Below are 24173 nucleotides of genomic sequence, written 5' to 3' on the forward strand. Positions count from 1 at the left end.
TTCCTCTAACCCTTAAGAAGAAAAAAAAAGTCCACGGAGGCAGTGCAGGTCTGGTGTAGAAGCTCCTTTTGTCATCTGACTACACCGTTCTCAGCTTTTGGCTTCCTTCCTCAAGCTTGTCTCAGAGTTATAACATGGCTGCCTCCACCCCAGCCATCACATCCTTGTTCCAGGCAGGAAAAAAGAAAGGGGAAGGGCAGAAAGTACCTGCCAGCTGAGCCATCCCCACTTTTTAAGGAATTTTCTCAGAGACTCTACCCAGTAATTTTTCTCTCTATTGGCCAGACCTTGGTCACATGTTTAACCCTAGTTACAAGGGAGTCTGAAAAATGTTATGTTTTCTTTGGTTACATTGTCACATGCTATGGTTCCATTAATAAGGAAGAAGGGGAGAGTGGGTACCGGGGTGGGGCGGGTAGGGGGAAGCGGGGAGGCTTGACTGTCCCTGCGTCAGCACCAGCACGGTGCCTGGCCTGCCTCTCCTCCCAGCCAGGAGCATAAATCCTGGCGCCACCTACTTTCAGGAGAAGGCCCCTTGAGCAGTCAGTGAAGAGTAACATAGTTGACTTTCTGAAAAGATTTGGAAACAATTTTAAAACCTAAAGTCTTAAATCCTTTAAAGTATCAATTTGACAATGCTACAATAAGAAAAAAAAATATTTCCTAAGTAGATTTTTAAAATAATGTTTCCCTACAAACTATATAATCATAGGGGTCTGAGTGGAGAGAAGGGTAGTGACTTTGTTATTTATCCTGAATGATTTAGTTACAGGGCCTCTCCCAGTCACAGTTGAGACTTGGGGTGGCACCGTCTGTGTCCAGCAGGGTCCTGGGCTGCCCCTGCCCTACAGTTGCATTGTCCCAGTCCCAGTTTGACATCCTGGGAGCAGCTCCTGCATCTCATTGTCATTCTGCCACTGCTGTCAGCCTCTCTCGACTCAGTGGCTTTTGAATGATTCCTGGTTCCTGTTGGGAATTGAGAGTTAATTCTAATCATTCACTATTACAAAGTGGATTTTTCTGCGTGTGCAAGTGATTCTTACTCAACATTCACGTGATGCTCCTTTACCCATTTGTTCCTGAGTTCACAGGGGCAGAAATGCTTCCTTGGGGTAAGCTAGCAAGAGCATCGACCTTGTTGCCTGTTTGTCCACAGCTGAGTTTCCATTACTAGGGATTGTAATGAGACCTCCCTCCAGAGAGCACCATTCTATTTAGTTGTCTTTTTCCTCAAAATGCAGGGGGCTGCTTCCTCATGCCAGCTGCCCCATGGGAGAAAAAGAAAAGTTATCACTAAGCGAAAGGTATAAGAGTGGTGGCGTGGTGAGGTGTCCTGAGTTCTAGTCCCAGTTCCACCGTGAATTAGCCACATGCTCTTGGGTCATTCACCCTCTCTGGGCCTTTGTTTCCTCCTCTGTAAATAAGAGGATTGGGCTGGAAAGCCTTTAAGGGCCCTTCCAGAAGCTCTAGGAGGCTGAGATATGAATGTCCAAGAAACTCCTCTACAAAGAGATGGAAGGAAGGAGGAGGAAGGAAAGAAGCAGGGAAGCACTGAGGCACTTACCTGTTTTCTCTTTGCTCTCTTTTTGACCCAGCATAAAAATCTGGAAGCCTGGGCATCCTCTCTCGTGGCCTGTAATGTAAATTCTGAAGCAAGGGCCGGCCAGAATCAACCCGAGCTTCTCTGAACCGTGAGCTGCCTATAGGTCGGTCACAGTAGAGAGACTGTGGTGAGAGGCAGCAGCTCCTTTTTGTGCCCCTCCCCTCACAGAACTGCACAGGTCTAGGGTAGGGGCAGGCATGTGGACTGCTGGGCATCGTCCTCTTTTCCTCCACCTCACAGATCATGGAACTGCACTTCGCTGACTTGTCCTCTGTCCCCGTCCAGATCCGGGGGATGTGACCGGGGGGCTTCTTTAATGGATGGTTTGGTTTTGTCTGGGTGAATTTTTTCCAGTTGCAACGGGTTCATTTGCCTTTTTCAGATCGACAAGGAAGACGGGATTTTTATTTTTATTTTTTTCAATGTTTTCTGAAAGGCTAAACACACTGTTGGCACTCAGGAGATCTCAATAAATCATAATACTTGCTATGGAAGATTAATTTTTACTTCCAGAATCCTGTTTTTCCAGAAATCTAATGAGATCATCAAGCCACTATGTACAATTTACATTCTTATGCAGTTTAAATAAAAGGAGGGAAATTATTTATAAACAGGAGAAAAGAAAAACAATAATTATGCCAGGAAAAAAAGCAACTCTGCCACGTAATGCTAACGAAATTTGCATCATGTGTGATTGAATATTTCCATTCAAATTAAGATTATAATCATACTTAGAGAATTACTCTTAGAAGGTATTAGGAACTTAAAAATTATATTTTTAGGAAAATATGACATTTTTTGAAGATATCTAGCCCCAGAATAAGCCAATAGGAAGTAGTCAAAGAATTAACTAGTCCTATTTGAGGCTGTTCTGAAGGAACCTTCTCTATTTTGTCTCCTAATTTTGCCTCTAAAACTGTTCCTCCTCAAAACTCAGTTAGTCATGAGCTCTTTATCTGGCACCTTAGGAACTGCCAGCGATGGCAGGAATGCCTTGTAGACAGCAGAAAGCACAAATGCTAAAAGATTGGGTGAAGTGATAGAGGGCTTCTCCTAGCCCCTTGACAGTTCCCTGAGGAATTCTCTGTGGCTGTGGAAGTCAGGGAGAAAAGGCCACCAACAGTGTGCTCTGCTGATTTGAGCCTGGGAACATGTACTGAGCCATGCAAAAAGGCACAACTGATGGGTGGCTGTGAGTCACTGAAACTGTTTTTCAACCTCCTGGGGACTCAGATTCCTGCCCTCTTCCATTTTGGCCCTACCTTCTTTTTCCAGCTTCCTGCTCTGTCCCTCCAGTAACTCAGATAGCCTCCCTTCCTGTCGACATCCTCCCTACTGCTTTCCTGGGGTTGCTGTGTCTGAACTGCCCTCGAAGCAGCCCCAACTAGGCACAGCTGCTGCTCTGGGCCCCTGGATCACTCTTATTGAGAGAAAAGGGGTCAGGTGGATCACAGGTGTTTTTCAAATAGGGAAGTCCAGGTGTCTTGGTTAATTACAAGCCGTTATAGCTGGTCTAGAGCCACCACTGGGGCTTGTCAGTTCTGCTTCGCTTCTCTGTCTGGGAAGACATCTCATCCCTTCCTGAGACTGTCTTTCCTCACAGCTGTCTCTTTCCACATAAATGCTGCCTTCTCCCTTTAGTTTCTCAGTCATTTCAATATTTTCTTACAAGTTCAGGATACTGATGCAATAAATGTTTTGATTTTGGCCTTGGCCACATTTTTGCAACCCCTCAGCATTTTGGAGGGAAAGATGAGCTCATTGTGATATAATTAAGCAATTACATTTGTGATAAGCCAATGTAGGAGCTTTGAAAGCAACACATGGAAAAGACATGATTGCATACTGTAGAACTCCTCACCAATGCGGAATATGTGAATACATATGATCTGTGTTTCCATATGCAAGAGCTAAATTCAGACTTGGGATAATGAAGTATTTATTATTTTCTTTCTGTTTTCATTAGAGAAGATGATAACTTATTGACAGATTTTGCTCATTTTAGAGCCAGTTTTTTATCACATCTCCAAAAAAGGAAGATCAATGTGTCAGAAGAGATGCTAGTAGTCAACTTTTATCCATTTGTAAATGTTAGAGTCTTCATTTTTTCTTCTGTGTAAAATACTTTCCCTGTAATTCTCAAAACAAATATTCTTCCAGAGTCTTATTCCATAAGATCTAGGCAAAACTCAAATCTGTTTATTAATTCTCATAAAGAACAATTTTAGCTATTGAACTTGCTTAATTTTGTGATTAGCATGGAGTTGGCAGTGTTCACAGGTTTGTGAAAAGACTCAAAAATCCACCTCTTCCATCCCCAGCTTCACACCCTACTGCAGTAAAATTGTCATAAAGAAAAGTCACCAATATTCTCTAAATTAGAATGTAGTCTCTTAGAGTTAGTTGTATACCTTGAGTGTCTCAGTTCAGGTCTGCCCCTATTTTCATTAGTTTTTTACTTCCTTAGCTTCCAAAGGGCTTATTAGTAATACTAATGATTGTTTGATATACTGTAGTAAACCCAGCAGTTGACATAAAACAAATGAAAGCACTGGGGAGATGATGTACTTATTTCCAAGTGGAGGAATATCATAGGGTTTTGAATTTCTACTCTACCATCCACAGAGCTGGAAGTACTTGAGCATGCAACTTCCAGCCAACGAACCCCAAATAAGAACTATTTCCATTTTTATTACATTTAAGACCATGTCCTGGCACAACAGTCATGTTTATTCGCAAAACTCTTCTCAAAGGAGATTCAGGGTGAGCTGTGGCACAGCTGGAATGAGTCTGCAGCCCTGGATCGGGTTCTCCATAAGGGGCTGAGTGTTGGTCGATGGTGTCAGTGATAACATGTTCCATCTTGGTGTGTGGCCATGGCTGCAGAAACCAGTGAGAAACCACTGAAATGCTGTACATCTGTACAGATCAATCTGATTTCCTTATCCAGTCTGTCTTCTTCTGTGGCTTTTCCTTCAAAGTGACTGAAGAATTCAAGCTTTTACTCAGTAGTATCTATTGTATTCCAGGCATGGGGCATCTTGTATACCTATAGCTACTGTCCCTGTAGGTGTATGGTATGAGAGAGCACCCTTAAGGTTTCTTTTCCCCACCCCAGAAGCCAGGGGCCTCACTCCAGCTTTCCCTAACTGTGGAGAGAGGGCCCTGCTGCTGGTGGCTCTTCCCACAACCCCAGGCATTGAAGCTTTCTGTGGAGGGGCTTTGGGATACTTGTCAGGTTCCGAGGCCTCCTCTTAGGGCTGGGGCCATTTAGCATGTAGCTGGTAGGTGACACTAATAGGCCACAGGCCTGGGTGTGGCATTTATGGCAGGTCTGGGTTTTGCAGCCACTTAGGTTTTGGCTCAGCCACAGCCTCAGAGCCACAGAATGCCAGCTGTTGTGGGTCAGGGCATCCTGCTTGCTTCACATTTTGTCAGCTGCCCAGGGAAGGTGTTAATGGCCTGGTAGAGCGTATAAAATCACCAAACTGGAAAATTTGCTGCTCAGAGTGTGGTCCAGGGACCACTGCATCAGCATCACCAGGAGCTTGTTAGAAATGCAGAATCCCAGGCCTCCTGAGGCCAGTAAGTTGTATGTACTGAAAGTTTGAGGAGCACCGAGCTAGCCCATCTCTTCGTTATGCAAGCTCGCTCTTAAATCATCCCTGATACAGGTGGCTTATCTGAATCTCTTACTTTTGGGTTCTAATTTTTAAAACCTATAGGCTCTAGGATCCACCTAATATCTAGATGAAAAACATTTTTCACTTGATATTTGCATTTTTAAGTTGATAATTGAAAATATGTTTATCCATTGAGAGTGGTTTATTCTAAAACACGGGATATATCCCTTATGAAGAGGGTAGAGGTGTGTGTTTGGGGTTTGTCTGAGAAGCAGGTAGCAGCCTTACCTGTTGGACCATGGAAGTGGCAAATGAAACCTCTGAGATGAAGGAATCTACTGAAGCTGAACGTGTGAGTCCATTAGATTGTTATTTCATGGTGTGGGGCCTGTATATTCAGAGTCCTCTGAATGGGGGCCTGAAAAGCTAGGCAGTATTAACTATCTGACAGTTGATAAGAAAAAAGCAATAACCAAAGATATGCATCAGGAAATCACAGGGTAAGGACAGTATATGACACAGACAACTCCTTTGATGCTTTGCTACGCTGGCATCCATTTCCAAAAAAAATATGGTGTAGTCCTTCTGGTTTCAAAGGTCAGTTTTAGTTGTGTGACTTCAACTCGACAGAGGGTGTTGATTTCCATCCGGGATATGAAAGAAAAATGGAGGCAGACTTCTCGTGACTACTTTCTCCCCCCTTGAAAAGCTGAAGTGGTACTTCAGGGATATCTGGTCTACCAGAATCATCAGGATTTCCCCCAAGACAGGAAACGAAAGTGAATAACTGCCACTACTCCTTACCTTGATGTGCCTGGTGCTTTTCTCAATTTCAAAATAATTTTTTGCTACCCAAATAATACATAGTCATTGCAGAAAAATCAGAGAATACAGATTAGCAAAGAGAAGCAAACCCAGAATCCTACTATCCAGAAGCAACCATTATACATAATTTGGTGTCTGCCTTTGTAGGATTTTTTTCTGAGCATCTATATATTTATGTAGATATATAACATTTTGGGTAATAATTTACTAAAAAATGGCATTGTATATTTTGTTTTATAGTCTAATTTTCTAACTATAGTACAAACATCTTTATATGCCAGGAAACTCATCTCTATAATAGTTTGACTATTCATACAGTATTCCCTTATATTTTTGCACTGTACTTTATTCACCAGTTCACTATTGTTGGTCCTATAGGTTGTATTCACTGTTTTACTACTGTAAACAGCATTGCCAAAAACATCTTTCTAATAGGTCTTTGTGCATATCCTTCCTTATTAGAAAAAACTCCTACAATTGGAATTGCTGGGGTAAAAACTGTACTCTTTAAAGCTTTTGATCCCTATTGCTAGGGTATTCTCCAAAGGTGCCATTTCACTCTCCCACAGACATGGATGAGAGTGTCATAAAAATTGTGATTTTATGTACACAAAAGATTATCTGGATAGATACATATGTAGATAGATAGTAGGTTTTTTAAACAATAACAATGAGCAAAATTACTCTATGGAGTCGGTTATAAACGGGGAGACTTTCAGGTTTTGGAGAACCACAGGGAAATCTTTTCTGCTGCCCTCACTGGAAGTGTGGTATTGATGACAATCCTGCTCCAGCCTCGGACTACAGTAACAGCCACAGCAAAGCCATTGGTGCTCCGTCCAGCCTTTATGGAAAATATTTTCCACTCCAGTACAGTTTCTATCTTTGTTCAACATCCATACTGCTGTCTTTAACTGCTGATGGTATAACAAGTTAGAAGTAGCTGAAAAATATGATACAAAAAGCCAAGTCATATCCTTTCAAGGTTACAAAATTCAGAGTCGAAGAAAACTAAGATGATCCCATCATTCTTCCTTCTTTCTAAACCTTCTCTCCTTCTTCCACATTTGTGAAACTTCTATTTTGCACATCACCTGATTCGGGAAGGGAAGGAATGTTCCACATGCTCTCACTCCCCTTTTTATTTTGACCTGACTCTGACATCTTCTGACGTTATTATTGGCACACAAAGGAAGTGAAGCTGAGCAGTTCAACCTGTGCTTAGAAGAATGATTTTCCTTTTCGTAACAACAGTAGTTGCAAGACGTCTTTCCTTTGTCAATTATGGAGATAATTGGGCCTTTCTCTACAAGTCCATATTTAATATTTCATTGCCCCAGGCTTGAGGAGAGTGAGGCTCAAACATGTAGGGCCACAGATAGACTGAACTGGGAAGTTAGAGGTCTCTCTATGAGACAGTGTGATGAAGGGCTCGCCATCTGTTAGATTATAACACGTTCTGCTCTTCATTGAGAACTCCTATAAGAAGCTCCTATTATAAAGAGTATGAATTTTCAGTCACCAACTCAGACATAAAAGCAGTACTGCTTTATTTCTCTATAATTGAGCTGAACTTCATCTTGAGCTGCCGCCCTCACCCCCTAACAAGTGAAGACACAGTCCTGCTCTTCTCAGGGATCCCAATGCCTGCAGGGCTCAGCCCAGGAGAGGTTCAATCCATGATCCTTTCTCAGAACGCTTCTGGCACACAGATTTTCATCAAGTTCCTTCCAGTCGTCTTCCTCCCACCAGAAGCCCAAACTTGGCATCTGAGCTGGAAAAGCTGCCCTTGCAGCCCCACATGTTCTTCTGCCTTCTGGTTCACAGTGTGAACCCTCTGCTCTAGGTTTTTAGCCTTTCCTGGCTCAGAAAGCCTTTTCTGTCTCCAAAAGCCCAGCTCTTGCAACAGAGAGCCTTGCCCTTCAAGACCATTTCCTCTGTTATGAGTTAAAACAAAATTTTCAGAAATTCAATTACTAAGTTTATCTGCTGCCATCCTCCCTGAAGCAGTGAACAGCCAGGACTCTGTAGGTGGAGGGCCCCAAGGCGATTAAGAAAACTGTGGGAAAGGGAAACTTGGTTATTATTTCTGCATCCCATTCTCTGCGTCATTTAGAATGTATCATCTCCCATTTGTATTTTTGTTACATTTGTCACGTGTGAAGGTCTTGGCTTCTCAGTTAGATTTTAAGCTGCACAAAGGCAAGGACAAGCTATGTCTCCTCTTACTTGGAGTCCTTGGGGCAGGCACTTCAGGACTAGGTGCCACTGAGGTATAAAGGAGAAAGCCCTGAACTGGGAGTTGGGAGATGTTTGTTCTCTTTCTAGACCCACCATTGACAAGTGGCCTGACCCCAACTGTAAAATGAGGGGGCTGGACTGACTGTCTTACCCATCCTTAATTTTCTAGTCATGTCCAGTAAGTTTGTTCTCCAAATGGGCCCAAAGTACACATTTTCTAAGGAGACTTAGAAACAAGTACCGGAGACTTGTCAGTGTTATATTAAAATTTTCAAAATATTTGAATATTCCACTGAATTTTAGGCCAAAAAAAAAAAAATGAGTCCCCAGGCTCCATCCACTTCCTACATTGCTCGTTTGATCATGAGCAAAGCCAGTGCTGGATTTCGTCACTGCTGCATCTACTGCGTTCAGGACGTGTTTTATAAGCACATATGCAGTGGCTTTTCTTAGAAGAGTTGCAACGGCTAATCATTATTCATCTGATTTCTCAATATCCTGCCAGAATAAGTCCCTTTTTAAGATAAATCTTGACTAATATAATTGTAAGGATTCCTCCCACGAGCTCTAGTGTAAGACAGAGGCCTGGAGTTTCCTGATGAACAAATCCTTGGGATAGGCTTAGGCTAACATCTTCCTCTTTTGTCTTTTTTGTTTTGTTCTTTTTGGTAGATTTCTTTCATTTCCTAATACAAGATTAATATTAATTCTGTTCCTCTTGTTTCCAAGCCCTGCTCTGTCATCTCTGGATCTCCAGTATTTGTTGAGATCCTGACTTTCTCAGGATGACTTTGCTGCAAATGCAAATGACAAGCACATAATGTGGTTTAGAGAGAATTAAAATTACTGAGTAGAAGAAAGGACTCTGTGTAGAATGCTATAGCCTCTTCAGGCATTTTGAACCGTCAAATTTTTATGCAAGAGGAGTCTTAGTACATCATTAAGCATGGTACATTGCTGGGTGTCAGGCCTGCATTACTTCTCATAAACTTTCAAAGTCCTTGCAGTCCCAGGGACTTACACACGTATGCTAGATATGTTTAAGTGTTTCTAGCTGCAGTTATACCTCCTCAAACTAATTACATATCAACCTTCTGGTCTTCTCCCAGAATCTCTGTCAAGCTGTATCAGGATTTAAAGTGTCTGTCATTCCTTTGGTTGGTGTCCGGCTTTTGCTCCCCCTCCTTTTCCTATCAGGAGAGTATGTTTCAGAATGATGGACCTGAATGAAGCTTAGAAATACATTTAAAGTAAGATGGATGTCCCATTTCCAAGTGGAAAAAAAAACCGGCAGGGTATCTAAAGTATCTGCCTTACTTTCTATATATTTTTTTCTTAATAGTGTCCTGGTTTTAGAATGAGCTCAGGAATATGAATTAGACATCCACATCGCTGACATTGTTCCTCCAGCAAATCATAAAAAAAATGAGAGGGCGGTCGAATAACTGTTATAGCAAAGCCACCCTTCTTATAAAAGCGTGAGAGGGCCTATAGACCAGAAAGATCCTTTATTGTACTCCTCTGCCAAATGAAAATATAAGTTTTAGCTTAATCATTTCAGCCTAGGTTCAGTTCTTCAATTACAGGACACTTCTGTGAAATCAGGCTGAGGAAGAACCTTATGATCTATATTATAAATGCAGTTTGGATCTCCATGTTAAAAATCCTATATGTCACTTCACTGCCACCACAGGTCATTATTTCCAGCACTGCAACCAGTCTCGCCACTTTCACAGCCCAAAATTGCAGGCCAACAGGCCTTGTCAAAATTACAAAATTACCAAGAACAAAGTCTGAGATTTTGTCTTAAATATTGGTGGAGTAAGGGAGTTGCTTACACATTTTTCATTAGTTCAAAGTTTCAAAGAACTGGCTTCTAAAACTATGAAAAAAAGAGATGAAGGCAGGTTATTCATTACATTCCGGATGAATAGCGTCTCCCAGGAAGGAATTTGGAGGCCCCTTTCTGAAGGCATTTGTTTCTGGCGTTCTGGGGAATGCCTCAATGTGGGGAGGCTAGCCCTCTGCAAGTTTTGTGTTCAGCGTCACCCAGAGCCTTTTTCCCTCCTGCTTTCAGACCTGGTTGTTGGTTTTTTTTGTTTGTTTGTTTGTTTTGAGACAGAGTTTTGCCCTTATTGCCCAGGCTGGGGTGCAATGGTGTGATCTCAGCTTACTGCAACCACTACCTCCAGGGTTCAAGTGATTCTCCTGACTCAGCCTCCCAAGTATCTGGGACTACAGGCGCCCGCCACCACACCCGGCTAATTTTTTTGTATTTTTAGTAGAGACGGGGTTTCACCATGTTGCCCAGGCTGGTCTTGAACTCCTAACCTCAGGTGATCCACCTGCCTCGATCTCCGAAAATGCTGGGATTACAGGCTTCAGCCACCACGCCCAGCCCAGATCTGGTCTTTATTCACAGTGTCAGCCGGTGCCCTGGACATGTCTTTGTTGTGTGTGTGACGCACCGTCTCACCTGAGTTTTCTGCCACTGGATCATGTGGGTCTGGTTGGCAGACCAGTATCCCAGCCCCCAAGCCACTCAGTGCCGTTGATGGGGGCTTTAGAAATGCAAATAAGTGTTTATTCAACCTTATGCAGCTCTCAAGCCAGGCTCCAGGGCCAGATTCCTAAACCAAACAACCTGCAACAGCTGGAGGTGCCCTCCTTCACAGTCTGTTGGCCTCGTCGGGGATTACTGGGCACTGCAGTGTTGGCAGTAATTTTGGCACTGGAATGGCGCACAGCAGTTTATTCCGTCAATGGTAAATTGTTACAGCCACTGCCTTGGAAACCACGTTGAGCATGTGTGTGTTCAGTGAAGTGTCTGTCTGTAGGACTTAGCTACCCGGCTTACATCTTATATATTTGTTTATTGTCTGTCTCCCTCACTAGATTATAAGCTCTCTGAAGGCAGAGACTGTTTTATTCACCACTGTATCCTCTAGTGCCTGGCACATGGTGGGTGTTCAGTAAACATTCTTTGATTAAATAAATGATGAAACTAAATTGCAAATTGTCAGTGACAAATTGTGTCTAAAGTGACAATCATATTAATCGTTGCCCAAAAATTCTAGAAAGGGGTACCTGAGCTTGTCATATCCTGAGACTTGTCCAGGAAGTTCTTTTGGAATGAGAGATCTCTTCAACTAGACATGCCCACTGCTGGGGAGGGGGTGCTCTGGGGACACACCAGTTGGCCAGTTCTGGGAGGAGGGCTAGTCTGGCAGGCACCGGGCAAGCAGTGCAGGCATGGCTGATCTAAAGCCCAAGACTGCAGAGAGTGGTTGTGAGGGGCCCTGGCGCAAGCAGCATTGAGGTAGGTCCAGCACCCGGAAGTCTGTCAACAGGCAGACTGCCCTCTTCTTCCGAAGACTCCAGCTGAGGATGCCCACCCAGGCGAAACAGCCAGCCCATTCACAGCAGGCTCTCCCACCTAAGGTGGGTGAAGGAGCTAAGCCATGATTTCAGAGCCCCAGCCAATTTGGGGCAGAAAAACCAACGCGATGATTCCAAGTGAAGTGGCATCGTTCATCTGGGATAATACCCGAGGTTTGTTGTCTTCTGCCAAGGAAATCAAGGATGTGGACACACAAGGAGTGAGATTAAGAGCAGAGCTTTAATAAGCGAAAGAAAGAGAAAGGCTATCTCCTGCAGAGAGAGGGCTCCCAAGCAGGTGTCTGGTCTGCCACAAAATACTTAGGGTTGTGTAGATGAGCTTGAGGAGGTGGTGTCTGATTTACATAGGGCACAAAAGATTGGTCGGACCAGGTGTGCCATTTGCATAAGATGCAAAAAACTGGTTAGGACTAGGTGTGCCATTTGCACAGCATGTGAAAATCTGGCCGCCCCCCACTTTAATCTTTTATTATGCAGATGGATTCTCCACCTGGCGGATGCCATGTTGCCTGTTCCTTTACTGTACACACGGTGACAAAGAAAAGGGAAGATGGAGCCTCCAGGTTGAACATACCTGGCCCTCAGGTAGCCCTTTTCTATTGGCGCAGCTTCCGGCATTCATCTGTGCAAGCTTCCAGCTTGCTTATCTACATCTACAGCTCGAATTTTCAGACTGCTCTTTGTTAGAAAAGAAATGATTTGGGGGCTGCTTTTTTGTTAAAAGCAAAATTCTGCTAAGGGCTCTTTTATACTCACTATGTGCCTAAATAATTTCTTTCCATCTCCTGTATCACGAGGATTGTGCCCTTGAGTAGTGAGAGGACATAGTGGTGAGGAGCACAGATCCGGGGTTCAGACAGCCCTTGCTGTTCTCCAGGCAAATGGTCTTGAGCAGGTCAGTTAGTAGTTCATCTATCATAGTGTTGCTTTAAATGAAAGATTAAATGAGATAGTATACATAAAGCTTGTAGGACAATGTCTGGCAAATAATAAGAGCATAATAAATGGTTGCTATTGTCTAAATTAATTTTCTGTTAAATTTAAATGGCCAGAAACAGGATACACAGGAGAGGTAAAATGTTGGAAAAAATATATATATAACAAATGCCCAGGCTAATAGTACACTTTCTGCATCATAGAAGGCCTGAGCTTGTACACTGCTTTCTTTAACACTGTTTTCATTTTGTGTTATCAAAGGAAAGCCTAATTGTCTATAATCAAATGAAAAAGAATCTCCCTTCTCCTTAGGAAAACACAAACTAATTTGAAAGCCTTGTTAATGGTGTGCTAGCAGCTCCCATCCTCCCACCAGCCTTGGGGCAGTCTGTGCCACTGCTCTGTTTGGTTCTGGTCTGTGTTTTACCATAATTCAACAGGTGCTCGCTAGGTCCTTTGAGAAGACATGTAATAGATATGATAAAGGCAGAGCACATCCCACAGTCATGTCGTCTGTGTTTCTCCAGGGAGGCATAGAGACTTTTCGTGGCAATTAATTATTCACATTTTCTGTCCTTCCCCTCAAATGCTTGGTTTCCTATCCAGCTCCACAGAGGCATGTTTCTCGTGGGGTGGGGGGGGGTGTAACTCTAACACCTGATGACAGCTTGAAGCTGCGTTCTGTGTTCTTTGCTTGTGTTTTCAGGTCATGTGCAGCGGGTACGTGCTAGTGATGGCCAGAGCATGCTAATGCCACTGCTCATTCTCCTTAGCTCTTCTGGGGCAGGGTCTTAGCCACTTACATGTCCCTGGTTCAGGCAGTGCAGAGGGGGCTCTGGGGGTCGGGTCTTCGTCATCCTGGCTCGCCTGCTCTTGGCTGCCTCCCAAACTGCCAGGCGAGCTGGTACTTGGTGGAATGCCTTTCAGCTCACCCCCCTGCTCTGAGGCCGGGCATTTCGCCCTTCTGCAGAGCTGTAAACATTCACTCATCCATGCAGACTTCAGCATGGTCTTTGTTACTGCTCTCAGGGAAACCTTTGTGTAACTGATAGAGATGGCACAGGGCTGAGCGCCCTGACAGCTCCACTGGAGAGTCTCAGAAGCCACCTTCTCCCGGGCCTCTTCACACCCAAGCCTCTCACGCCATGCTATAGGCTTTCTTGGGTGACTGTTATGCATTCCTTTCACTTGTGCACCCACCTGTGGTGCTGGCCTGTTTGAGTTGCCCTCGAGGGCACTGCTGAGATGTGAAGACCTGGGCATGTGCCAACAGGGAGGGCAGTTTCTAGCTTATTCTTCCTCCAAGACCTGGGGCCAGAGGAAAGAAATGTAAGTGGGTGTCCAAGAAATGAAGCTGTTGGCTGGTGGCTGGGAATGAAGCCAGTCAGAATGAGGTGGGAGAGCCGTGCAGAGGGGCCAGGCGGGAGCTGCCGTGGCCACACATGGATGGAGAATGGCAGCTGGCCACTCTGCTGTGAAAGGGATACAGTGGAGAGGCGAGCACACTTCTCTGCAGAGCCTGGGCTGATGGTGCACACGGAACTCGGATACTGGAGCTAGTGCTCATACTCTGTGTGACCTTGGCAGGCTACTTCACCTCCTGTGCCTCAATTTCCTGGTTTCTAAAATGGGGACAATCATAGCACCTCCCCTTTCTATGGTGGTTGTAAGGATTAAATGAGTTCATACATGTAGAACATGGAGAAAGCACCCATGTTAGCTAACATGTCACCCTGTGTACCTGGCCACATGCACACCTGGGGGTGGGATTAGGACCTTGAAGGGACTTCCTGGTGGCCCAGGCAGCTTCTTTTCCCAGACTTTCCTTTACTTCGCATGGTGTTTTTCCCCCCTCATTAAAATCATCTGTCATTTTTTTCAGGTAAAATTCTTGACCCCTCGTTCAAAGCCTTTCTGTCCTTTTCCATTTACATGGAGCATTCACTGATGCTTAGCAAAGTCGCATGTCTCCACTGTTGGGAGTTCAAGGCACCAGAGAAAAGTGAAATCCATTTAGATGATGTGGTATTTTCTCCTACTTTTACTGGAGTTACTCACTGGCAGAAAATTTCATCGCAGCTTTACTACTTTTGCGTCAACTGTACTTCTGCCGATCGTGTCATGAATGTTCAACCAAACCGAAAGAAGCCAGGCAGGCAGAAAGGGCAAGCAAAGAAAAGGGCCAGAATTATCTCTGAATTCTGATTGTGTTCCTAGCCATCATGATGAATTTTCATGATTCAGGTCTATATGGGGGCACACGCTTATCAGATAACTGCATACAAATGAGAATATGATCTGAAAGTAACTGGCCCATCCTTAAATTCAGCCCTTCACCTAAGCAACACAAAGATCCAGTTGCCAAAGGACATCTCTCCTGGAAGTCATTTGGGCATCTCAAGCCAAGTGGTCAAGGTGGAACTTTCTGTCTTTTCCCACAAATCTGCCCTTCTTCCTCTATTTCCTATTTCAGTTAAACATCACATCAGATCACTTGTTCAAGCTGGAAACATCAGGGTATATACTCCTCTCCAACTTTTCCTACACCCCACCCACCAGGCCTGTGGGCTTCCTGGCCTGCCATTTGCATCTTTATAGCCTGTGAATCCATGCCTCTTCTATTTACCCACTTGACTGACTGTCCTGGATCTGTAAGTACTGCTGGGTAACAGCCACCTCCAGTCTCAGTTTCAGGCTTGAAACAACCATCATTATTATTTCCCATTTGTCTTGGATCAGCTGATCTAGACCATGCTCACCTGAGTGGCTCTTGCCCTGCGTCTTTGGGTGTGAAGTTTGGCTGATCTAGGGCAGGCTCAGCTAGAGTGGGTCTGTTCCATGTGTCTCATCCCCTTACTGGGACCGGTGGGCTCCCCCAAGTATGTTCTTATGGAAATGTTGGGAGCACAGGGAGGCAAGCCAAAACACATGCCACTGCTGTCTCTTTCTCCTGCCCAAAGCTAGGCATATAGTCTCATCCTAAATCAAAGGGTGGGGAAATACGCCACCCATTTAGTGGGAGGAGCTACACAGTCACATGGCAGAAAGTAAGGATACATAATAGGATAAGGAACTGAAGCCACTAACATAATCTCCTACTCTGCCAAGTCCTTGTCATCTCCTGTCTGGACTCTTCACTAGTCTTCTAACTCCTTATTTTGCCTATAGCCAACTTTCCCCCAACTTGATCCTGATACCCCTTCATAAAACCTTCCTTTGCCCCTTATCAACTACTGAATTGAGCTGAGGCCCCATACAGCTTGGTTCTAATCCATTTTTCCAGCTGCATCTGTTGCCATGTCCCAGAATTCCCCACGGCCCCCTTCCAAATGTGCTTGTTTTTTGCACAGTTCTATACCTTCGTAAACACTTCCTAATCTCCTCAGCATTTGAGGGCATCATGAGCAAGAGGATGTGTTCTGCCTTTACCCTTCAAGACCCAGTTCATTTGGTGCCTCCTCCAGGAAGCCTTCTGCAGAGCCCTCCTTCTTTTGTCATATGTAGTAAGTTGGAATTGCTCTATGCTCATATTTAACTCATACAAATTTGAGAATACATGCTCAGCCAGCAGGAAGGAAAAAGAGGGAAGACAATTTAAAGGATTCCACTTGCCATTCTACTCCATGAATGTGGAAAGCTGAAACTTGACTCCGCTCTTACCTTAGTCATCCTTAACTTCCAGAAGCCTCTCAGGTTCCCAAAAGCCTCTTGTAGAGTGAAGGGCAGGGTTTGATGAGTAAGGGTTCAGTGTTTAAAGAAACAGACTATTCTCTTATACATGGCCCTGCAGCAAAATGGTTATTTTATGTGGTGTTCAACTAAAGAAACATCTATCTGGCCATCTTGTCTTGTTACAAGTTAGTACTTTATTGGAAATTTAGGAGACTTTCAGTGTTAATCGTGTCTATAGATAACCTTTGCTTCACAGTGACTTTAGAATCTAGCCCCCACCCCAAGTTACTATTCCGTTGTATTCCTTTTAGGCATATATCAGATTTAATTTTACTTTTTGATGTTTGTGTTTCCCCACTCAGTCACAAAGTTCTCATCTTATGGGCTTATGGGTCTTCAGAGGGCTGCTGCCTATGGTTGTGCAGGTTGTGCACTGCACAGTTCTCAGGGAGCATATCATGCAAGAGTATACGTAAATGTACTCCCATAGTGCTTGGGCATACATAATTAGTGCCAGCTTCTTTGTGTCCCCAGTGCCTGGTACAAACTGATTGCTTAACAGATGTGCAAATGAATGCATGAATAAGAGAGAAGACAGCAAGCTGGACTGTTTTCAAGTGAGACACTTAATAGGGTTGGGAAGAAAATTCAGACGGGTTTTGATCTGATTAAATTAAAACCATGTTATTGCAGCTGTACATGGTGAAATGGACTTGTAAGCCCACTTGGAATGTCTACCTACCATAAAAAAATTTTCATCCTGTGACTTGATCAAGGTTATGATTCTGAAAAGCACACCACATTGATAGAACACAATTGACCACATGATCACTGTATGCCTGACACCCCTAGTGGACACTGTGAGGCATGTGTTTTGTAAAGGCAGATCTAGATTCTAGGTGAATCTAGCCCCCTAAATCACAATTGGCCTAAAGATGTCTCAATTCCCTTAAATGAGACCTAAAACTTCTATAAATGCAAATAGAACCATCTTTTAAAAGAGCAAGCCTTTTATCAGGTATAGTTATATGATTTAGAAATATGCCAAGTGTGGCCAAAAAACTGTCACCCCATGGGAAACTGTTGCCAAGTTAAACAGTCAACTTCATGCTTGGAATTCAACAGTTTCAGGTGTTCCGCCAGAGATCACAGGGAGGGTAACCGACCCATTCAAGTTGTGTGGGCTTCTGAGTGGATGTGGCCCAGCAAGGGACACAAAAGGTAGCCTTTCATGGGCAGTCATGGTCTCACCCTGCTTTCCTTCCACCCTAACCTCAGCCCCAGTAAGCTCCAACAGCAAGAACACTGTGCTTGGCTCTGGGGGTCATCCTTCCCTGTGTCTCCAGCAGCAACATGATCTTGGCCAGGACCCCACAATAGGGGACACTGTGGGCAGGACTCATCAACAGCCAGGGCATGACCTGTCTATAGAGTAAGCCCCAGGGGGCAAGCACAGGTCTCTCTTGTCCTCCATCATTCGCCTTGTGCCTCACTCCCTGTGAGGCAGGTAGGAAGGAGCCCATGAGTGTGTGTTAACAAAATAAACAAATGAAATAAGCAAACCAGAGGAGTGCGTTTGTGTAGGGAACATGTATGGGGCAAGGCCCTGCAGCTATTTCAGGAAATACTAAATGGTGTCCACAAGATGCTATGCCATCTTTTCTAATGGGCCTGTTGTTCCTTCCAAGTCACTAGACTTGACTTTCTATTTGTCTGATACGTAAATATAAAGTCAAATGTTCCCTATACCAACCAACCTGATGAAATACAGGACCAAGGTTCTCCTCACCCTGTCCAGCTTAGAAACTATTCACGTAGCAACAGCCCTTTCCTCTTTGGCTGCTAAGGTGCTGGCATAGTAGTTTTTATAGGTAAACTTGGGATCAGAAAATCACAGGTCATGGAGTCAGTTCAGTTAGAATTTGACTTCTCTTCCTGTCAAGCCTGTACACGTCATCACTGGACACTTTAATGAAATAATCATAATTGTATTCATTCATCCATTCGTTTTTTGCGTGCCCCCAGGTGAGCTTTCCGTTGAAGAGGCGCAGGACCCTTTCCTGGTCAGCATCCACATAATCGCAGACCCAGGGGAGTCCCAGCCCCTGCAGGAGGCCATCGACAACGTCCTGGCGTGGATCCACCCCGACCTCCCGCTGTTCCGGGTGTCCGAGAGGCGGGCGTCCCGGCGGCGGCGGAAGCCCCCCAAGGGCGCTCAGCCAGCGCTGGCTGTGGTGCTGTTCCTGCAGGAGGAGTACGGCGAAGAGCAGATCCTGCAGCTGCACCGCACACTGCAGCAGCCGCCCTGGCGCCACCACCACACCGAGCAGGTGCACGGCCGGTTCCTGCCCTACCTGCCCTGCAGCCAGGACTTCTTCACGCTGGCCCCTGGGACGCCGCTTTGGGCCATCCGGCCCGTGCACTACGGCAAGGAAATCGTGCGCTTCACCGTCTACTGTCGCTACGACAACTATGCTGACAGCCTCAGGTTCTACCAGCTGATTCTCCGGAGGAGCCCCAGCCAGAAGAAAGCGGACTTCTGCATCTTCCCTATTTTTTCCAACCTGGATGTGGACATCCAGTTCTCCCTGAAAAGACTGCCCTGTGACCAGTGCCCGGTGCCCACCGACTCCTCCGTGCTGGAGTTCCGAGTGAGGGACATAGGCGAGCTCGTGCCTCTCCTGCCCAACCCTTGCAGCCCCATCAGCGAGGGGCGCTGGCAGACGGAGGACCATGATGGGAACAAGATCCTCCTACAGGTACTGGGGGGACGCCTGTCTGTCTGTTTAGGGGACCTGAGAAACCAGTTAGCTTTGCCTCAAACACTATAGTACCAGTCACAGAGCAATGATCAAGGAAGGAGAGATCAGTGACCCTCTGCCCAGCTCCTAGTCGAAGTCAAAGTGGCCATACAGGATCCCAACAAAAGAGGGGGCAAGAAAGACTCTTCCCATTGGTTCTCTTCATTTCACTTTCAGCAAACATGTTCCCAATTCTTCCAGCTGCCCCTTCTGTCCTCCCCTATTGGGCATCCACTAAACACCCATGACTCCTGGGGATTTCAAATGAGCTTATAAGCTAGGGAATTTGCTATTAAAGATTCCTGAATCTATGCCCATGTACTTAGAGAGTTTTTACCACTGGATTCTTCCCTCCCACAAAGGAACTTCAGGAAAGCCCATCTATCTGGAAATTTTAAAATATATATTGATGTTCATAGAGGAGATAGCTGTTCTCTTCCTTCAGGTGCCTCCCCCACCTTCTACTCTTGCATCCTTCTACTGCTGGGCAGCAGGTTGTTGAAATCCTGTGATCACTTGGAAAAGGATGTCCCGTTAAACATTTTAAGGAGTAAGTGATGCCTTGGGAGCTTCTGGTTTCACTAAGCTTGGAAGGGGTGAAGGAATTCATTTTAAGTAGGCTGCCCTAGTCCTTCCATGGTAAACTCTTTAGCTTCATCATCAGCTCCCTTTCTCCTCTCATCCTTCCAGGGGTTGTCCCAGACTCATTAGAGATAATTAGTTATACTCAATTCAAAATTCAGCATGTATATTACAGAACATCCTACATCTGGTCCTACCTGAGAAATGCTTTCCAGACCCAGGCTTTCTTGATTTTACAAGTAAATTAGTTCCAGGAGTATAGGGCCTTGTTTTTCTGAAAAGCCTCTACCTCTGACGTCTCAATTTTCACACTTGGCTACCCGAAAAGAGAAAGTTGATAGTGAATTGGGGGACATTGCCTTAAGAGGCAAAGATTGTGGTTACTTGAATCACAGGTAAAGTTTCATCGTTTTTGTTGGTTTTGGCTTTAAGCACCAGAACTATAATCCACATATCATGAAATGAAGTCAGAATTTGGCACATGTCAGATAACTGGTTCAGACTACAGCCAGGCCTCATTTCTCGTCAGAAAGGTCACCTTGAGATACTTACTATTTATAGGAACTAGATAATTTTGAAACTTCCTTTTGAACTGTGCAGATAAGGAACTAAGTAATGTTTTATTATTCAATATGCTAGCATTTGCTCTATAATCCCTTTTGAAATGTGAGAAAAATTGTCTCTGTGTTTGAAGAATGCCACATCTTTATGCAAAATATAATACAGTTGCACCAAGTAAAAGTTAATGAAATGCAAAGGATATTGTTTATACTAAAAGACCAAAAAGAATGTGACTGTTTCTGAGGTGACTTCTTCCTTTTTGCAGTAATTAGAGCACTTTTTTCTCCTGATCCTTCTAATAAGATAAATAACAGAATGCAGTGTGAAAGCTTGGCCTGGGCTCTGCTCAAAGGCACCATGGAAAGAATATTTCAAGGAAGATCCACATATTTAAATGGCTATAAACTCTATACAGGTGCAGGCTTTTGAAGTTAGAACAACAGAGTGTGAAAGAGTAGAAAAAAGATTTGTATCTTGGGACTCAGGCATGCAGGCCCTTGTTCAAATAGTAATATGTTGAGGAATTAAATTAATGTGGGCAGAAAGGATGCATTACCTCTCCCCCCAAGATTCTTGGTAATGTCAAGCAGGTTCCTGTTCAGCTGCATCAGTGCAGATAGCTAGCATGAGGTCCACACCTGCCCATCTCTGTAAGTTACTTTCCAAAGCAAAAATTTGTATTTCAGTCTTCAGCAAAATTAAGGTAGTTAGGTCTTGGGGGGAGGAGCAGTTGAGAGTGAACCTTTCTATCCACATTCTCTTTAGCAGTGTACGTTCCCTGAGTGCCATTTTGAACTGTAATGTTTAAGATAAATTTTTTTGTTTAGTTGAATGGAGCTATATATTGAAGAAAATCTTGATTGGGTAGTTTTTAGTTGCTTGTTTAAAATACAGTTTTTTGTTCAGAAAGATTGCATTTATTTCCTCATCTTACACCACTGACTTAACATTCCATATTTTGGGGACTTCCTCCTCCCATTTTAATTCCTCCAGAGAAGAAAAGTTGAAACTTTTTTTTTCTGGGATCTACTCACCCCTTGTAAGAATTTGGAAATGTTTTTTACTGAGATCAGATAAAATGGAAAGAAAGCTGTCCTCCTCCTAAAATGTATCTTCCCTTCATTCTTGGCATTGCCTGATTCATGGGGGTAGGGCAGGGAGGTAGGTGGGGAGTTACTAGCATCAGGTGTTGTTGAAGATTCCTCTGGAAAATGCAGAGGGGGCATGAAAGACTCTTCCCATTGGTTCATTTCACTGTCAGCAAACATGTTCCCAGTTCTTCCTGGTGACCCCTGGAAGAATTTTGTAGAAATTTGCACTGATGCCTGATGATACTAAACTATGGCTTTGTGGAGTCAAGGATTGCTTTATGAATCTTTCCGGATCCCCCATAGAACTAAACTGACATTCTACTTTGAACACAGTAGGTTCTCCTTATACGTTTTTGTTTACTTTCTATTAAAGAATATTATTAATTATGTATATACCAAAAAGTTCACATTGTAAATATACAGCTCAGTGAATTTTCACAAATTTAACATTTGTATAAGCAGCACACAGATGAAAAAACAGAACAGAGACAGAAACCAAAGAAAAGATTCTTCCTCCCCCGCCCTGGGACTCCCTCCACTTAAATGAACATCTTAATTACTCTATATTACATGAAAGGGGGAGAGAGAAGAAATTTCTAGTCCAAAAAAATTGGGCATATGGCTATGTTATCCTTTTTTTAATATTTATAAGTGGATCTCACATTTAAAAAACTATACTTAAGATGGCTAGCAAAGACATATACCATGAAAGAAGATTAGTGATGACAATTAGAACAAAGGGATTTCAAGTAGAAGGCAAATATTGATAGAAAAATTAGATAAACCAAGTGTGACATCCAAAATGCATGTCAACTTTCTAGAGCTATACTGTTCAATGGCAGCCACTAGCTACATAGTTAATGTCGCCATTAAAATTTAAATTTAAATTTCATTCCTCACTGGCACTAGACACATGTGGCTAGTGGCTACTGTACTGGATAGCACCACTGCAAAATTTTCCTTATCGCAGAAAGTTCTATCAGCCAGCACTGTTCCAGAAATGAGCCCCAAAGTTGACTTTGAGTTCTTGTAGCAGCAAAAGCAAAATGGAAAATCATCAATGATGTGATTCAGAGTTCACACAGGAAAAATCAGCTATGCTTTAGATGCACATATAGTCCCAGTTCAGAGTCCTGGAAGCAAAGTCCCCCCAGCATCTCACATGCTCAGTGGTGTCAACAGCCTGTGCTCAGCCGCACCTCTCCAATAACACAGCAGGGGACTCACAAGGCTTTCTTAACTGATGGCTGCAGTGAGGCCAGGTATGCCCAGCCAGATGTAGTTCAGAAAAGCTGCTGCACAGGGGGAGGCTGGGCAAACAGAATAGCCCCCACTCATACCTCCTGGTGGCTTTGCTTAATCTCAGAGGGAAGAATGCACCTTCAGATACTCTCCCACAATTTGTTTCTCTCAGCCAGGCTTTCAGTAGCTAGTGAGTGTCAGTGAATTTGCCTTTTTTATTCCCAGCCAGGTTCCTGGAGCCTATTCTCTATGTGATAGGTAAAGGACAGGCTCATGTGTCCTGCAACTCGGCCATGTGGGGTTGTGCACTGTTCCTTTCTCAGGGAGCCCCAAGCAGCCTGGTAGGAACACAGGCCTGAATGGAAGGCCGCCTGCCTCTTTTGGAGGCCTGCTACAGGAGTGCTGTGAGCAAGGCCTTCTCCTTAAGAAGTGACTTGGGGTCCCCTAAAACAACAGACAGAAGCACAGTCCAAGGACCCAAAGCTCAATTCCACAATGAGATTGTGGCTGTACTTTTAGGCTGGAAAATTGTGAGAGCAGGTAGTTCCATGTCTTCAGAGTGGCAAGATAATTTAACAATGGTCTCCAAGTCTGTGGAAAAGTTCTTCTGTGGAAGACGCTCACCACTATCCCTTGGGTCCTTAGAAGGTAGAAAGAGAAAAGAGCTGCAACTAACGGTTTTAAATAAGGCTTAAAAGGCAGGAAAACCTGACATAGAGAATTATTACCAGTTGAAATGAGTTGCCAGGCAGAGAGGCCTGGGACTGTTACCACCAGAGAACTTTTCAGATCTCATCCACACCAGCTAGTATTGCTTATCTTCTGCATGCAGCAAGGAGATTGACTGGGCCATCATTGCTGGAATACTGGGGACACTGGTTTTGTGAGGACAGAGAGACAGATGCCACTGGGGATGTGATGAGGGACTGATGTGGGCTCCAGAGACTTATTTTGTAATTGTTAATTGTGGTAAAATACACATAAAATTTACCATTTTAGCCATTGTAAGCCTACAGTTCAGTGGTTTTATCCATTCACATTATTGTGCAACCATCACCACCATCCATCTCTGTAACTTTTTCATCCTGCCAAACTGAAAGTCTGTACCCACTGATCACTTCCCATCCCTCCTCCCCGAGGCCCTGGCAACCTCCATTCTACTATCTGTTTCTGTGAGTTTGACTACTATAAGTACCTCATATAAGTGGGATCATATAGTATTTGTCTTTCTGTTATTGGCTTATTTCACTTGGCATAATGTCCTCAAGGTTCATCCATGTTGTAGAATGTGTCAGAACGTCCTTTCCTTTAAGGCTGAATAATATTCCATTGCAGGAATATGATAGATTTTTCATGTCCATTCAGGATGGACCCCTGAGTTGCCTCCACCTCTTGGCTACTGTGAATAACACCGCTATGAACGTGGGTATGTAAATGCCTCTTCAATATCCTGCTTTCAGTTCTTTTGCATGTATACCCAGAAGTGGAATTGCTGGATTGTACAGTAATTGTGTGTAATTTTTTGAGGAAAGGAACCACCACACTGTTCTCCATAGCAGCTGTGTCATTTCACATTCCCAGCAAGAGTGCACAAGGC

At 44.1% G+C, this 24173-nt stretch overlaps 1 protein-coding gene across 6 annotated transcripts in view, besides 3 other annotated features; it reads left to right on the top strand.

The window, feature by feature from the left end:
- Nucleotides 1-24173, top strand: part of FAM124A (family with sequence similarity 124 member A) — a 61842-nt gene that overhangs the window by 10746 nt on the left and 26923 nt on the right. For 2 of the 6 annotated variants that reach the window (NM_001242312.2, XM_047430136.1), the window contains exon 3: nt 18325-19058. In NM_001242312.2, the coding sequence (NP_001229241.1) occupies nt 18325-19058 (734 nt within the window). Of the gene's footprint in view, nt 1-12168; nt 12277-18324; nt 20472-23941; nt 24003-24173 lie in introns of those variants that run through there. The other 4 variants (XM_011534978.3, NM_145019.4, XM_017020419.3 and 1 more) reach the window with 4 other exon arrangements.
- Nucleotides 10009-10598: an enhancer, noted in NCBI's record as "OCT4-NANOG-H3K27ac-H3K4me1 hESC enhancer chr13:51817288-51817877 (GRCh37/hg19 assembly coordinates)". NCBI's record gives its function as "activates a minimal SCP1, AML or CMV promoter by ChIP-STARR-seq in naive H9 embryonic stem cells {active_cell/tissue: H9 hESC(naive)}" and the evidence as "EXISTENCE:reporter gene assay evidence [ECO:0000049][PMID:30033119]".
- Nucleotides 10599-11187: an enhancer, noted in NCBI's record as "OCT4-NANOG-H3K27ac-H3K4me1 hESC enhancer chr13:51817878-51818466 (GRCh37/hg19 assembly coordinates)". NCBI's record gives its function as "activates a minimal SCP1, AML or CMV promoter by ChIP-STARR-seq in naive and primed H9 embryonic stem cells {active_cell/tissue: H9 hESC(naive and primed)}" and the evidence as "EXISTENCE:reporter gene assay evidence [ECO:0000049][PMID:30033119]".
- Nucleotides 22450-22744: a silencer, noted in NCBI's record as "tiled region #8165; K562 Repressive non-DNase unmatched - State 22:ReprW". NCBI's record gives its function as "represses a minimal TATA promoter and a strong SV40 promoter by Sharpr-MPRA in K562 cells {active_cell/tissue: K562}" and the evidence as "EXISTENCE:reporter gene assay evidence [ECO:0000049][PMID:27701403]".

This window comes from Homo sapiens, chromosome 13 (genome assembly GCF_000001405.40).
Source record: "Homo sapiens chromosome 13, GRCh38.p14 Primary Assembly".
In the NCBI taxonomy this organism is placed as follows: Eukaryota; Metazoa; Chordata; class Mammalia; order Primates; family Hominidae; genus Homo; species Homo sapiens.